Source organism: Homo sapiens, chromosome 3 (assembly GCF_000001405.40).
Source record: "Homo sapiens chromosome 3, GRCh38.p14 Primary Assembly".
In the NCBI taxonomy this organism is placed as follows: domain Eukaryota; kingdom Metazoa; phylum Chordata; class Mammalia; order Primates; family Hominidae; genus Homo; species Homo sapiens.
This window is the reverse complement of record NC_000003.12, coordinates 130,571,867-130,588,128: the sequence shown is the minus strand read 5'-3', so window position 1 is coordinate 130,588,128 and position 16,262 is coordinate 130,571,867. Positions and strand designations below refer to the sequence as shown.

At 39.0% G+C, this 16,262-nt stretch overlaps 1 protein-coding gene across 16 annotated transcripts in view, besides 1 other annotated feature; it reads right to left on the bottom strand.

Annotated features, from left to right (window-relative positions):
- Nucleotides 1-16,262, bottom strand: part of COL6A6 (collagen type VI alpha 6 chain) — a 160,323-nt gene that overhangs the window by 88,914 nt on the left and 55,147 nt on the right. For all 16 annotated transcript variants that reach the window (XR_924103.3, XM_017005713.3, XM_017005711.3 and 13 more), the window contains 4 exons: nt 13,604-14,173; nt 6,225-6,568; nt 6,061-6,139; nt 1,469-1,623 (listed from right to left, as the gene is read on the bottom strand). Coding sequence is in view for 15 of the 16 variants with exons in the window: in XM_017005713.3 (XP_016861202.1) it covers nt 1,469-1,623; nt 6,061-6,139; nt 6,225-6,568; nt 13,604-14,173 (1,148 nt within the window). In the remaining variant the exon portion in view is untranslated. The remainder of the gene's footprint in view (nt 1-1,468; nt 1,624-6,060; nt 6,140-6,224; nt 6,569-13,603; nt 14,174-16,262) is intronic.
- Nucleotides 9,057-9,306: a silencer, noted in NCBI's record as "fragment chr3:130297667-130297916 (GRCh37/hg19 assembly coordinates)". NCBI's record gives its function as "represses an EF-1alpha promoter that drives an FKBP-Casp9 reporter gene in an ReSE screen in HepG2 liver carcinoma cells {active_cell/tissue: HepG2}" and the evidence as "EXISTENCE:reporter gene assay evidence [ECO:0000049][PMID:32094911]".

The following is a 16,262-nucleotide window of genomic DNA, read 5'->3' as shown; positions in this document are numbered from 1 at the left end:
CTGGAAATGTGTGAAAGCAAACAATAACAAAATGGATACTATGATTTTATATCAGATAACATCAATTTTCTTTGGATCACCAAAATTCTACAGCATCAAATCTATTACTATTAACATTAAAACTGATCTATGATTAAGTTTTTCTTGTAGAGTGTTCCATTTATATGATATACAAAAACTGAGAGGTTTGTTTGAAGAAGAATTTCCTTCCTCTATGAATTACCAAAGAGATTTCAAACAGTAGTCGACAGGAAAAAAAGACACATTTTGTAAAAACACTGTCTTCCCATGTAGAAAGGAATTCCAACAAAACTTTCATATTCTATATGTAATTATTTTTACATAATTACAACACTGAACAAGCTGCTTAAATACCTATGTGTATATGAATTTTATAGGTGGAAAACAGCAGGAGCTAGCACTTCCTTGGAAAGTGTTCTCATATACTGATTAAAGATTTTATAAGTTATAAGCAAATTACAAAATTACTAGCAATTCATTAAAGTAGAAGTAGAGCCACACAGAGCTTGCTGACACTTTACCACTTGAGTTTGAATTCTCGTATGTTTTTGAAAGAAATACAATTGAGATACATCTTATACAGGCATTAGGTTTAAAAATAGAACATAAGATGACGTCAGGAGTTCAAGACCAGCCTGGCCAACATGGCAAAACCCTGTTTCTACTAAATATACAAAAATTAGCCGGGCATGGTGGCGGGCGCCGGTAATCCCAGCTACTCGGGAGGCTGAGGCAGGGAGAATTGCTTGAACCCGGGAGGCAGAGATTGCAATAAGCTGAGATCACAACACTGCACTTCAGCCTGGGCGATAGAGCAAGACTGTCTCAAACAAACAAAGAGAATATAAGGTAGAAATCTCAAGGAGTCACAACCCCTAATCTTTCAATTGCTCATAAAGTACAACATGTGAGGTTTACTGTCACTAGGCATTTCCTCCAGCTTTAGAGCAGATTGCTCTTTCTCTAGTTGAACTCCAAATGTAATTTGCTTTCATTTACAGGCCTTATCCCAGGAAAAATACACATCTTAAACACTAGAATTACACTCAGTACGGAAAGCTGTTATGCCTAGGATCTGCAAGCGGTGTGAAAACTGGCTGGTGGAGGTTAACGGCCGATTCACGCTCGCATCTCAGATTCTTTTTGTCACTTATGTTCTTTGGCTATAATTTGGACATGATTGTGGGTGCTATTTAAATTTTCTTCTTTTTCCCTCTTTCCTCCTCCTATTTTTGCCCAGTGTATAAATTAAACATGCTTTGACATCTCTTTACTGTATTACATTTCTTCCAAACAAACCCTCTTACTTAGGCTGTTCACTAATTCATAAAAACCTTTCTTCACTCCCAAATAAACACAGTAAGTTCAAATTCTTAAGCATAAGTATTAAACTTATATACAAAATAATTGAAAATTTAAGCTCACCAGCCTTTTCAGAATAACTTACCAGCTGCTTTGACAGCCGGCTTCCAAGTTCTCTCATGCCAATAGAGAGCTGTGTCCTGTACTCAAATCCTTTCCCAAATTCAATATAGGGAAGATCAGCCAAGTCACTTGAATCAGCAGGTCCATCCAGAGCAACAGTTATGAGGGCATTCAGGCCTATCCAACACAGTTTACAATGTTCCAGGTGAGGTGGGTTTGGTTACTTTAGTTTTTTGCAAGCATATTTAAATTGTTATTCTCAGTGAACAGCTGCAAGAAGAACAGTCAGTTTACTGTCCACTTCCCCCAAACACATGATGTAAACCTGACAAGTGACAAGACTATAATAAGAGTACAAAAGGAATTATGTTTTTCAAAACTAAATAAATTGGAGACAGGGAAAATTGTAACACAACTTCCAGTTCCTTGATTTGAAGGAGACAGTTCTAAAAGATCTACAGAGCATGCTAAAGTAAAGAGAAATTCACACACTAAGAAAATCCAGCTTGGGCAACATGGCAAGATTCCACCTCTACAAAAAATTTACAAAATTTTACAAAATTAGCTGGGCATGGTGGCATATGCCTGTGGTCCCAGCTACATGGGAGGCTGAAGTGGGAGGATCGCTTAAGCCTGGGAGGTTGAGCCTGCAGTGACCTGTGATTGTGCCCCTGCACCCCAGCCTGGGCAACAGAGCAAAACCCTGTCTCAAAAACAGAAAATACATGTTCTACATTTTTGCCACTCAGTGGAGGATCCTTGAAGCAGCAGCACTGGCATCACCTGGGGGCTTATCAGAAATACAGAATCTCAGGCCCCATCCCACACTTACTGAATCAGAATTTGTATTTTAACAAAATCCCCAGGTGATTTGTATACACATTAAAATCTGAAAAGCACAGCTCTGTACGATCTGATAAGACATCAATAACCCAGTTGCACCTATAAGTAGTAAAAGAGTAACAGGCCTATTGTCAGGCAATTAGGAACAGATGACACACAATCATCCAGGAGCTGTGGCTCGGAGGCTTTGGGGTTTTATGAATACAATTATTTCAAAGAAAACTGTTGGTTAAGGACCAACATAGGGTTGCCAATGACTTATTTTGCTAGGTAAGAACATTAAATAATGATGGTAATAAATCTGACAGTCATTATGGTGGAGGAAGTAATTCAGCAACAACAGTGCTATCATTTGTTGATAGAAACTGTGTGCCTGGGAAATGGTTAAGTGCTTTACATGCATTATCTTATTTGTAAGGTTCGAATATAACTCTATTGGTATGTATAATTATAGTCCTATTTTACAGACAAGCAAACAGACTTGGAGAGGTTAAATGACTGCCTGTAAGTGGTATTTTTAGGTTTTTTACCCAGATAGCCTAATTCCATAGCCTACATTCAAAGGATATTCTGACAATAAAAATGTGCTAAAGATATAATCTTGGAATAAAGGGCAGTCTTAAAATCAAATACGTTTAGCTTCATGTAAACCTTACTCCACTGGCAACATTTTTCTCATTTTATTATTGATGGGTAAAGAATCCTTTGATGAGAATTGGGTACCAATGAACCAGAATAGATAAATGTTCAAGGACTTGGCTGAGAGTCAAGAACACCTTCTTAAATAAATTTATATGATATGATTTTATATGAAATGAGTAGATGAAGAGAGAAATCAAGAGAATGAAGTTTCAGGGACATATTGGAGAGGTTCAAGTTCCAAGAGAGGCAAACAGAATGGTTAGCTGCAGTGGAAGAAAGAAAGAGGCCGGGTGCGGTGGCTCACACCTGTAATCCCATCACTCTGGGAGGCCGAGGCAGGCGGATCACAAGGGCAGGAGATAGAGACCATCCTGGCTAACACAGTGAAACCCCATCTCTACTGAAAATACAAAAAATTAGCCGGGTGTGGTGGCAGGCGCCTGTAGTCCCAGCTACTCGGGAGGCTGACACACGAGAATCACTTGAACCTGGGAGGCGGAGCTTGCAGTGAGCCGAGATGGCACCACTGCACTCCAACCTGGGCAACAGGGCAAGACTCCATCTCAAAAAAATAAATTAATTTAAAAAATAAAAAAAATAAAAAAAGAAAGAACAAACGAACCACCAAAGAAAAATAGGGTGACAATTTGTCCTCATTTCCTGGGACTTTCCTGGTTCTAGTGTTGAAAGTTCCCATCTTGTTCCCAACAAAACAGGATAGTCGGTCATTCTTCTAGAATGAGAATGAGGAGGGGGAGAAAAGAGGTTGTAGAGTGGGCTGGGATATGAAATGCTTGTACATCAATTGGTGTTTAGTTATCAAGAGAAGGCATGCTAATGGATCTACTTATAAGAGAAATGAAACCTTCTGTCATCTGATTTTTCTTATAATACCCAGGAAATGTAAAATTTTAAGAGTCATAAGAACCAGGGGATTGTTGACTTGCAAGAAATATGCATATAACTATTATTTATAACTGTTTTTCTTGGGATCAGGGGACTCCTATCTTCTTTCAGACTCATCCAATAAATGAGTCACATGATCCTAAATACAATGTTTTCAATTTTCTAACAGTGAATTAAGAAAGAAAAGATTTTCAAACTTGGGAGAATAAAGAATCACTGAGTAGATTCTAGGGTATTCAATTCTAAAAAATTAATTAATTTAAGCCCCATTCCATGTGCATAAGTTTTACAGCCACGTCCGCCATCAAGGATTGTTTTTTCCTTGTCTCCTCTTGTTCAGTGATGATTGCATACTTTACACATATTGATGCCCGGCCTGAAATTAAGGAAGCTTTCCTAGGTGAATAGATCATAGGGCCCAGCACCAAGTGAAGTCCTGTGTAAGTATGGGAAGCCAGCGAGAGAGATACTTCTTGTCCATACAGAAAACCACTTTCTTTACTTTATTAAAGAAAAAAACAAAACCAAAAAACTCAGGAGATCCTTTGAGATCTTGCTTGGTGTAAGTCTGACAGGTGAAGAAACTGGTAACCAAATTATTCACACTCAACCATGTCAAAGATGGTCACTTTCAAAGAACTAGACACTTTTCAAAGAACATTATTGCCATGATTTCTCTCTTCCATTGGAAGAATCTAAATATCTGAGGATATTATTCAAAATATAGCTTCTGAAGTTGATACCCATTTACTAGTTTTTCAGTAGGCATTGGAAGAAAGATACTTGGTCTTAGAATTCTGGATATTCCAAAGCACTTCCTGGAAGAAACTCTACTGTCCTTTGCAAGAGAAATACCTTTTCCCCACAAAGGAAAAGCTGAAATAAAAGAAAACAAAATAACAGCAACCACCAAAACAACCCTACCCATCCCAACTAAGCACTCTAGTATCTTTTTTCAGTCTTAATTAAAACCTTCATTACAGCTCATGAACAAAGGCCAAGACCAGAGAGAATAAAAACAAGGCATACTTCGTAAATAAGGGATAAAATAAAAACTTTACTCCCTAGTAGTAAACTCAGATAATTTTGCAATTTGTTGAAGACTGGAGAGAGAGAACAAAATAGAAAAGACAAAGTCCTGTCAACCCCTATTAGCTAACCTGAGAGATAATGTCTTAGGTCATGTTCCCTAGAAACAGAGTTTGAGATAAGGATTTGGAGGTACACAAATTGTTGAGGAAGCACTTTCAGAAGAAAGGGAGTGAGGAAAACAGGATAGGGCAGGGGAAGTTGCTGAGCAAGAAGACAGTGTTGCAGCTGGAGTCTAGCTTTATTTAGCCTGATCCCAGGAAGCTCTGGAGCATAAATTGCAGCACACCACTGGTGTCATTTAGAGGCAAAGGTCCAACTCTGTAATCTTATCTGCTGCCCAAGGATGGGGTGGACAGCAACCTTCCAGGTGAGGCAGCTCTACTGTCCAAGGGCAATTCTTCAGAGAAGGAGTAAGCTGTGAGTTGTTAGCAGCTAGAGGATAGGTGAATCTGCCAGTAAAGGAGATCTGGGTAGGGCAGAAATAGCACCCACTTACAGAAGAGGACTTCTATTCTGAGTCAAACAAGAACTTCTTTGTTTGACTAAACAAGAACATCCACATGTTCTTGTTTGACTCAGAATAGCTTTTGGTTCAAAAGCCAAAAGCCTGGTGCCAGAGCTTAAAAATCTCAAACACCATGGTTGGCCAATCCATGGTCTGAAGGAAGGAACTGATTAGAAAGCTGCAAAACATGAGTAAATTTATCCAAAAATGCTTGCAACTCTGGGAACTTTAAGAGTGTTAGAAGAAAACTGACTCTCATTCCCTGGTCAAGGAGAAATATACTCTTCTCTTCTGGTGACACTAAAGAAGTAGCAATATTAGACAATGTGGGGCGAGAGAGAAAGGAACATTCTCCAGGAAAGGTCAGGAAGAAGAAATACAGTAATATGAAACAAAGGATAGGACTTTGTATTCAGTGCTGTTTCATACACATGAGGCATGAGGAAAAAAGTGGATGTCAAAATATTCTGAGAGCTCATTTGTTCTGCCTAGTACATACAGAATACGGAGATTGTCAAAATCAGGGTTATTCAAAATTTAAGAGCCTGGAAATTTAAGAGCCAGAATTTAGTTCTGAGATTATAAAGTTAATAAGCACTCCCTTCCCACTTCTCCATACTCAGTACCTTCTTTTCTAAGTTCATCAGATTTTTGTTCAAGTTTCTCAACATCATCATCCAATCCATCTGAAAATAAAAGGACCACCTAAGAAAGTATTCAAAAAAAGTAAAATGAATTAAAAAGGGTTCATTGCAATCATAGACCAACAAATAAGATAAATCCATGTTACCTTTCCTCGAGCAGCTGATTTATTCTGAAATGTATCCCATAGAGAATCCAAGAGGTTTGCATTGAGAAGAGATGGTCCTTTAACTGTTATATCCTTCAAGCTATTCAGTATGTTTTCACTGTAGATCTCAAACTTGGGAGAATATTTTTCCATGGCATTGGTCACTTGAAAAGCCACACTGACCTGAGTCTCTGTGCCCACCTCACAGCTTACTCCATTGAGGGAGCTGATGGCACGTAAGATGTCTTGAAGGTAGGTTTCCATCCAAGGCTGACCTTCAAGCAAAGTCTGCCCTTTCTCCTGAGTTGAGACATCAAATCCCACCACAACATCCACGAAACAGTCTAGGATTCAAAGGAAAAGCATGTCTTAATAAATCAACAAACGCCTTTATTTAACTCAGACACCATGTCTGAATCAAGGGACTTGGAATTCTATTTCAGTTATAAAGTTGGAACACAAAGAAAGGCATAAATGAATAAAGAAAGAGGCTAAGAATCAACTCTTTTCTAACCTGTAAAAGTGTAAGGGTTCATTATTATTTTTTCAGGTCATATAAAATCTGATGATTCTATAATGAAGTTCTGAAAGATTTTATTTTAGCTATTGAAAAAGTCATGCAGAATCATTTAAATATCCCTAAAGTACACTGTGGAAATGTCATTAGTCTAAAATAAGACATTCATATAATGCTACTTATCAATTGAGGTCATTCAACAAATATTAAATTACAATAATCATAAGGGAAATTTAAGAACATTTGAATAAAGTCATCTAGAAAAAAATAAATCACAAAGGACTCATCTAAGGAATGGTTTTGATGATTTATATTTCTAAAAAGGGCCTTTTTGATTCCTCTTGTTGTCTTCTAACATCCATGCAGAAAAGAAAAAAAAAAAAACTAAAAAATTCAGGAGATCCTTTGAGATCTTGCTTGGTGTAAGTCTGACAAATGAAGAAACTGATAACCAAATTATTCACATTCGACCATGTCAAAGATGGTGCTGCTTTCAGGAGCTCAGCCATTCCAGAAGCCACGGACACTGCCATTTTGAGGTTAAATACTTAGAGGCATGTTGCATTAAAGTGCTTTGCTCTTATTCTTATTAATTCTAGGGAAACTTAAGAGTTGGAGAAACTAGAAAGGGCTTGATATTTTAAGCTGAGTGTCCTAAAGGCAGTTAATTAGAGAACAATAAAGTCATGTGACTCATACACTCTCCTTTCACGAATTTTTAACTTGGCTAAAAACTCTAATTTTTTTCAGCAAACTGAACACATACAGCTTGCTTGATAAAATGAGTGGTTGTTTTTAATTTGGTTTGCTTAGATCAGCAATGTTTAAGATATTCCTTGTAAAGACAAATGCTTAACTACTTCCCAGACACACTGGTCAGTTGGACATTTGCAAATGCTTAAAACCAAAATCATCAATTTCAACTTTTAAAACAAGTGTTGGCAACTTGATTTTTAATGAGAATTGACTGAGGGAAAACAAAAATTTTATTTGATAATCAATTTTCATCATGAGATTCAAGGTAAATCAAAGTGTTATCAAAAATCTGGAAGACTGAGCATCTTATTTTACTGTATTTTATTGGAAATCTCTTCTTCATCAGAAAATAAGATAAACTATTTAGAAAAAAGCAGAATATATCCTTTCCAAAATTCCTCTTGCATCTACGTCTTCTCATATCTGTCTTGAGCTTGAAAGTTTCATTTTTGATGATGACTGTTTAAACCTGAGCAGAAAACCAGGTAGTAACCAAGATATGATAATGTCTTTAAGGAAAACAGAATTGTGTGAAAAAAACCAACCAGCAGAAATACCAAAATGACATCAAGTGACCTTGGGAACTGTTGCCTATAAACATTGTGTATTTTAAATTTTTGTCTAGATTGCTGAACGTACAAACTTATTTAGGTAAACAAGTTCCTTGTGTTTAATTTGAATTGACAAATGATTCCATAATAATGTGATAGAAGGAATGGAATTTGGTGGACAAGTCCAGAATTAGTAACCATGTGTCTAAGTACAGTGAGAGAGACCAAACCATACTGAGCAAGAGGCTCTCATGCAACAGCCTAAAAACTCCACTGAGACATCTGCCCTTAAATCAGGAGCCCTGTCTTGAAGTCTTCCATGACACAGGTTGTACTTTAAAGTGAATCTGCCATTGGTGACTTGAAAGGACTGGAGGCAGGGAGTTTTGGAAGTGAGCTAGGGAGAAAGCTGAAATTGGATTTCCAAAGAAATAATGAAGAATTAAAGTAGGATAACAGCAGTGGGAATAAGAAAGGGCTAATAAAAGCAAAATATTTAAGAAGGTAATTGGCAGGACTGGCTACAGAGGGTGATAAGAGAAGTAAGAGTAGCCCGCTGAGCCCTTGACTAGTCCTCCAAATAGCAATGTGGAATCCTGGGGGGCAAGTCTGTGAGTGGGAAGACAGAAGTTCAGTTTCAGTCACATGCTGGTCACCATTCTGTTACTGCCAAACTACTTTTGGCAACTCTTATCCTCTCTGGGCATTAATTTTCTTGTCTATAAAAATAAGGGGGTTATATATTTCCAAGTAAAAATACAAAAGCACAGAAAAGAGTGAATTGGATCAGACAGTTATAGTCTCATTGTTTCCTGCCAAGCCCAAAAGCTGATTCTAATTATTAATTTATAAAGACAGTACTTAATTGGAGCTGATGATGGCAGATTCTTGGTATTAAGAAATACTGTCAAGAGGCTAGGGTACATTTGTAAGATTAGAAGACAGATTCTTGAGAAAATACTTTAAAGGGGAAAGTGGCAGTTATTAGCTGGGATAGGAGAGAAATCTGTTTGGGACTTTGAAAGATGGGGTATTTTAGATTAAAAAAGAAAGGATCATCTATAAAGTATAGCTAGGGACTGTTAGAGACTCAGTTTATATACCTCCCAGATTTGCTTCCTCCCTTTCCCAAGGCGTAGACATTTGTCCACGGAAGAGCCCTAGCTGCCATCATCCTTAGTCTGCTAACCGTGGAAGTGACAGCCTGGCTTTGACACAGCCTCCACCATGCTCACTGCAGAACGGCCACCTTGGCTCTGGTGCCCGTGTGCAACCCACGTGAACTTAGGGAGGCCCTGGTCCCTTCAGCATTTCCTGCCCTAGGTGTAGTGCACTGTGGGACCTGTTTCTGATTTCCCCAGCAGTTTCCATAAGGGGCTGGATAACGCAACCCAGTAGTGTAGGGAAGTTAACTCTCTGACTTATGAGAGGCAGTAGATGGGAAGCAATTGGCAGGTAAATCCTCTCTTTTATTCCCTCTGCTGGGCTGGTATACACGGTGGTTTTATAGGGCTTCTCTAGTGATGTTCTGCATGACCAACGCACCAGTTATGCTTTCTTAAGCTGTGGCTAACTTGGTAACATACTACCTTGTATTTACTTTCCCCTCCTTTCCCGCATCACTTCCCTTCCATTCACTCTTGCTTCCCTGGGACTGCACTCCCAATAAAGTATTGGCATGTAAACTCTGCTTCAGGCTCTGTTTTCTGGAGAACCCAGACCCAGTTAAGGCAGGAATATAAAAAGAGCTCCTTATTAAGAAAAGTTGGACATGAACATCTATTTTTTTCCTTATATTTTTCACATCTCTTGAATCAAATCCTGAGGTTGTCTCTTACCCTAATGAGACTAATCTTTTGCTCAGTCTCCCTCTTGATTCATCTATCCATAATGATAGATACATCAGATGAGAGATGCTCCTGATTCTCTGCTACCTAATCATGGCTCCATGCTAAAAAAACAGGCAGAACCTCCACATCCTAAAAATTGCTCAAAGTCTCCTCTAGTGGACAGAATAGCCAGTCTCAAAGAAAAACCAAGAAAATAAGCATGGATAAAGGTGAGAAAACAGTTGCTTAAGAAAATACCACGTATATTTATTAAATTTGAATATAGCTCTGAAATGTGGCTAAAATATTTAAGTCCCTAAACTAAGGAATTGTTGGTAAATTGTCCTCCTGTGAATTAACCCCATTACTCCACAAATTTTCATTCAAGACATCCCTTCATGGTACTCTCAGCAACGTGCTATGATATTAGCTAACTCTCAATGAACACTTACCATATACTTCCAATTCACTGTCTCACTTCTCCTCATAAGACACAGAATAAGTAGAAGCTCTTTTTCATTTTGCAGATGAAGAAGCTGTGACAGAGAAGCTTGCCCAAGATCTCACAGTTAACACTGTGTCTCTCACACTTGGGATTCAGATCCAGACTTCTCTGGAGTCCACATGCTGAACCACCTTATTCTACCACTTCCTGGTTAGCCAGTGATGACAAGTCATGCAGGTTGCTAGTTCTACTACTAGGTTATGTTATTGGAAGTGACAGCAGGAAGTGGTTTCCTTAGGGAATATCAGCTTGTGGAAACAATTTCAAAGATACAACCCTATGATGTCTTAATAAGCTCCAGCTATTAATTGGTGAAGCACAACACTTAGATATTAGTTCTTTATAATGTCAATATCAGATAACCTAGACAATAACTATATCAAGAAAACAGCTTAATTTAACAAAAAAGTCAGGGATGGGGGTGGTGAGAGGAACAGACGGGGGTCAGACAACCCTAGGTTTCAAAATGTGCTTAGTCTTACTTCCTGTATGATCTAGACCAGGCTACCAATATTCCCTTGAACCCCAGTTTCCACATTTATAAATGAAAACAAAAACACCAACCATGTAAGATGTTGGGAGAATTGAGTGAGATAGTACATTTAAAGTGCTTAGAACACCAGGCTTGACCCTTCGTAGATGCTCAAAAAATAATGATTCTTAGTCACCTCCATCATACCTCCATGCGTCTGACCTCCCTTTCACATATGTTGAATCACAGTATACAATTAGAGGAACTTTTAGAGATTATTTAGATTTACAAACCAGAAAACTAAGACTCAGAAATGGTACTGACATCTCCAAAGTTATGCATATTTTAATAAGAAGCACAGCAAGTGTTCAGGCCTTAAGTCCAGTTTGTTTTGAACCATACCCAGCTACTGTCTGATTTCCTTGTTTTGGGATTTATAGTTTAAAAAGAACTGGCATCCCCTAATATATTTGTACATGCCTTTGAAGCTTTATCAGTGTTCATTCCAGCTTCATCAGTCCTCAGCTCATAGCCTGCCTCACATTCTTCCTTGCTGAAGTAATAACCTCAAGTTTATCTTAATATAGAGTATTTTTCTTATTTTTTTTTGCATTCATGACTATTTAAAAAATAACTCATTACTTACTTGGAGTTCATACTTCTGTTTTTTACTTTCCACATGGTTTTCTTTCATCACACTCAGATAGAAACTGGATGGTTCAGAGAGAATTTTCTGCCTAATAATTGGGCTTGAGTATTTCACATGAAACAAGAAATTAATGTGGAAGGTTTGGCCGAGGTAATCAGATACATTCCAAAGTATGTGAAGCAGAACTTAGAGAGTCAGTAGTCCCAAATCAACTACAGAACTCTTAACCTTTAACCTGCACATCAGGTCTTATTAAAGGTTTAAGACTGCAGTTTGGAAAAGTGTTTGGAGAGAGCTGTTGATGTGCTGTGGGCTCTCCCATCAGGCACACACACATATACGCAAGGAGAGTGGGTGACTTCCTTTTCAAGCTGAGAGAGGGGCTTTCAGAGATAATCTGGAGATAACCTAATCCTGGAAATTCTAAAGCATGAGACACAGGATGGAATATTGCCCTCCCTACAAAGAAGAGGCAATCACGCTGGAGGGCTGTGATTCCCAGTTTTTATTAGGGCAATCGATATGTTATTGTTGACCATGGAGCTGATATGGCTGAGTAGAAGAGCAAGCTGTTGTGGGCTCCTCTGATCTCCCATCTAAGAAGCCCCTGGAGGGGACAGAGAAACCTCAGCAGAACAAAGCTGGAGGCATCAGCAGATGCCCAGAGGCTGAGAAAGGCATAAGGGACACTCTGGAATAGAGACATACTTAGCCTCCTAAAAAAAAAAACTGTGATGGAGAGATCTTTAGACAAAGGTGGCTTGGTTGGGGAGGTGATGATGTGGGGCAGGAGGTGGAATCTTCGAAGGACCTATGAATGGACCCAGCTTTAGACACGGGCTATTTTCAGAGAAAACCAATTCCTGATAAGGGCCATCAGATTAAAAACTTTCCTGTACCCTTTTAGTTGTTCCCCCTTTCCTAGTACCTTCTCCTTCTGGAGAGACCAGAAACTATGGTTAGTAAGATGGAGGAGCACCTGGAAGATGGGGAGTGCAGTGAAAGTCTGGGGACATTGGGAGAAATGTCAACCACTTCTCTCACAGCAAGGCAGCCTGTAGCAAGCTGGAAATGTGGGGTAACCTTGAATAAAATGTAAAGTTTTAACATTACACTGGGATGGACATATTAATCACCAAAAGAAGGTTCTTTTATTTCCTGAAAGTGATGAGGGGCAAAGGAAGAGCTAGCTCCCATTCATAAATTTAATGGTCACTGGTAGATAAAAATGAAGGCACTTTATAATTATATCTCAGGTGTTATGCTCATTAAAGTTGAAATATGCATTTTCTCATTTAATCCTCACAATGTTCTTTTGAACTAGGTACTGCTATTATTCACATTTCAAAGGTGAAAAAATTAAACTTAGAGAAGTTAGGCAACTTGTCCCGGAAAAAAATGGCCATAGAGCAGGGATCTGCTGTCAGGCTGTCTGTCTTCAGAGCTGCCTCTTAATGACCTTGCAACTTTTTTTTTTGAGTGGAAATCTGGGATTAATGTTTACCTTTGGTAGTTATATAGAATCATAACCAACCCATAAGATACCTTTATAACAGAAAAAGTGACTTCTCCTTTAAGACACTTTACTTCCATCTGTTGAAAAAAGTGTCAAAATGCACTAATTGTAAAGAAGATATTTACTAATTTCTGCAGTAAAATTTCATAATAAAGATATAAACCTCTAGGGAGGTTTCTTACCTACCTGTACCACAGCTCTTGGCAGCCCTATAGGCCGTATTGCCAAGCAACCAAAAATCAGTCAAATATTTCCTTTCTTTGAGGCATTGCTCTTCAACCTCTGAAACCAGCCAGATTGCAAACAATGGCCTTTTCCTCACACCTGAAGGCAGGCATTCCCACTCACAAAGGAGGCATGCTCCCCCAGGAGACAGGGAGAAAAAAGGGCACAGGATATCAAACACCCTGTTTCTCAATCCACAGGTCAAGACAAATATTTAATAACTGTGAAAAGCTCAATTTGAAATCCAGAGGCACAAATCTAAATTCTCCCACTAGCCCCAGGGGATGACAATGGAGCTGGAAGAAAATGCCAGAGAAGATGGTGTAGGGAATCGAATGAAGAACTTGCTAAATACTTACTGCTTTCACCCGCTGTGGTACAGATGTTGCGAACGATCCTTTTATTGACCTTCTTCAGTTCATCGAAGTTGTGCACTGTCAGTTTTTTCTCTGCAGTCCCGGTGATCTGAATGAGCTGCTGGTCATCCACATCCCCAATGCCCACGGAGTAGATGTCGATACCTCTGTGTCTCAGGGCTTCCGCGGCCTGGGCCACCTCGTCTTGGGACTGGCCATCTGTAAGGACCAGCAGCACCTGTGGGGTACCTGTATTTATCCTGCTGCCCATGTCTGGCCTGAAGTAATGTTCCACCTCCCTGAGTGCAGCACCGATGTGTGTGTTTCCAAAGATCTGCTTGATGTTTTCAATCTGAAATGATATCTCTTTTTCACCTATGAAAGTTCCCAGTGGAAACTCCGGGTGATAGGTATCGCTAAACTGGGCCGCTCCTATTCGCACTCTGTTGAGGCTGACATCAAAGTCTTGAACAACAGATGCCAGAAATTCCTTCATTTTCTTGAAGTCATTTGGCTGAATGCTAGTTGAACCATCCATAAGGAAAACAAGATCTACTTTGTCAATTTCACAATCTACAAAGAAGAGAAGGAACAACAGAAAACCCAGATTGTTATTCTTTCCTTAATCCACCAAGAGTAAATTCAATGTTTGCAGCTATAGGCCGGGCGCGGTGGCTCACTCCTGTAATCCCAGCACTTTGGGAGGCCGAGGCGGGCAGATCACAAGGTCAGGAGAGCGAGACCATCCTGGCTAACATGGTGAAACCCAGGATCAACTAAAAAAAATTAAAAAAATTAGTTGGGTGTGGTAGTGGCTGCCTGTGGTCCCAGCTACTCGGGAGCCTGAGTCAGGAGAATGGCGTGAACCCGGGAGGCGGAGCTTGTAGTGAGCCGAGATTGTGCCTCTGCACTCCAGCCTGGGTGACAGAGCAAGACCCCGTCTCAAAAAAAAAAAAAAAAAAAAAGTTTGCAGCTATATAGAAATATTTCTGAAAGTGGTTTCTTATCTTATGCTAGCATGTGGTCACAATAATTGTAGAGGAAATAAAGGCAAATGATCAGCTCTTAAAGTCAGTACAAGGAATGAATCACTCACACATCTTTTTATGCTTCTCTTGGCTTGTTGATTTGGTATTAGGCCATTTTATTTTCTGAGATGCCAGAGAACTGGGGCCAGCGCTATGGAAAACTTGTTCTCATCTACAACCTAGCCTCAGCTCTTCCAGAAAGCCCGGTGACAATAGTAGCACACCAAGAGAAAACAAAACACACATACATTTAGGGATTCAAACAAAGAGGCAGATAGTTCATGTTATTGACTTAGCCTCCCTGGTCATTTGAGCCAATAAATATTTTTCTAGTTCATTAGGGCATATTGAGAAGAGGTTTTAAAAGGATGCCTTTTGGTCTGTATCTAGTCAGTTTTCCTTTTTATCAGCCCCTTTCTGCTGTATGTAGGCAAAAATATCTATTTGAGAAAAATATTTGTGAACAAGCAATGCAATATAAAGATGCTTCCCCCATATTAACACAGCAAATATAAAACAAGAAGAACATGAGAGACCACTGCCAATGAATGAGTTATGCTTGGCACATGTGTGTTCCTTAGCTTTCTGGTAAGCATGATCGTTTCCATGAATTCCCCAGTGATCTCACCACTCTCCGAACTTAGTTCTCATCATAGCCTCAGAAATATTAAAGGTGTCTGAGATTCCTGAAGTCCAGGTAAGCAAGGAAGTGATAAGAAGAAATATGGTAAATCGATCCTTTAGGAATTGGTTAACTTATTAAATTGTTTCAGATTTCAATAAAGGAAATCTAGTACTGTTTTTCTGTCCCAAGGAGAATTTTCAATATGAAAATGCAATGTCAACTTCTACAGTGAACTGGAGAAGGATAGATCCAATTTTAGACAATGGCTACAAGGAAGGAAGAGATTTGTCCCAGTTTTCAGTAAGACCCAGAAAGATTTTATTAGTTTTGTGAAAGAAAAAGATAGTAGCTGCATTCTAAGGAGGCAAGGCTTAGGAAAACCAGAGAAGTTAGATGAGTTTTAAAAAGAACTACTATATCTAGATGTTGGAATCATGAATTAATAGCAATTCATCTAGTAAAAACATTTAGTATCTTTAGTAAAATACATCTTGGGAAAATTACTCAGGAAACTAAGTAGAGAACAATCTTTCTCTGAACCAAAAGTATAAAATGATAGTAAAATGATGAAGGAAGGAATACATACATACATGCAGCAATGCAATCTCCAGCTGCCAGAATAGAAGCCCCACTATGCTCTGTCCTGGAAACTTCTGAGGCTGGAACAGAGTTTTTAATACTGGGCTTCACATTTTAAATGACCTTCTGCCACAATTGAAATAAGCAAAGAAGCTGGTGACTTCTAGCCTGAAGGAAAGAAGACTTCAGGCAATTCTAGCTGGTTCTTAGGAGGAGAATTTGTTTCTTGCATAAAGAGGAAAAAGAACTAGTGGGTGGAAAAATGTGTAAGCACATATGTGTTCTAATGAAGGCTGTTCAAAACTGGTGAATTCAGCTCAGTGTAGTGGCCCACACTTGTAATCCCAGCACTTTGGGAGGCCAAGGGGGGCAGATGGCTTGAATCCAGGAGTTTGAGACCAGCCTGGGCAACATAGTGAAACCCTGTCTT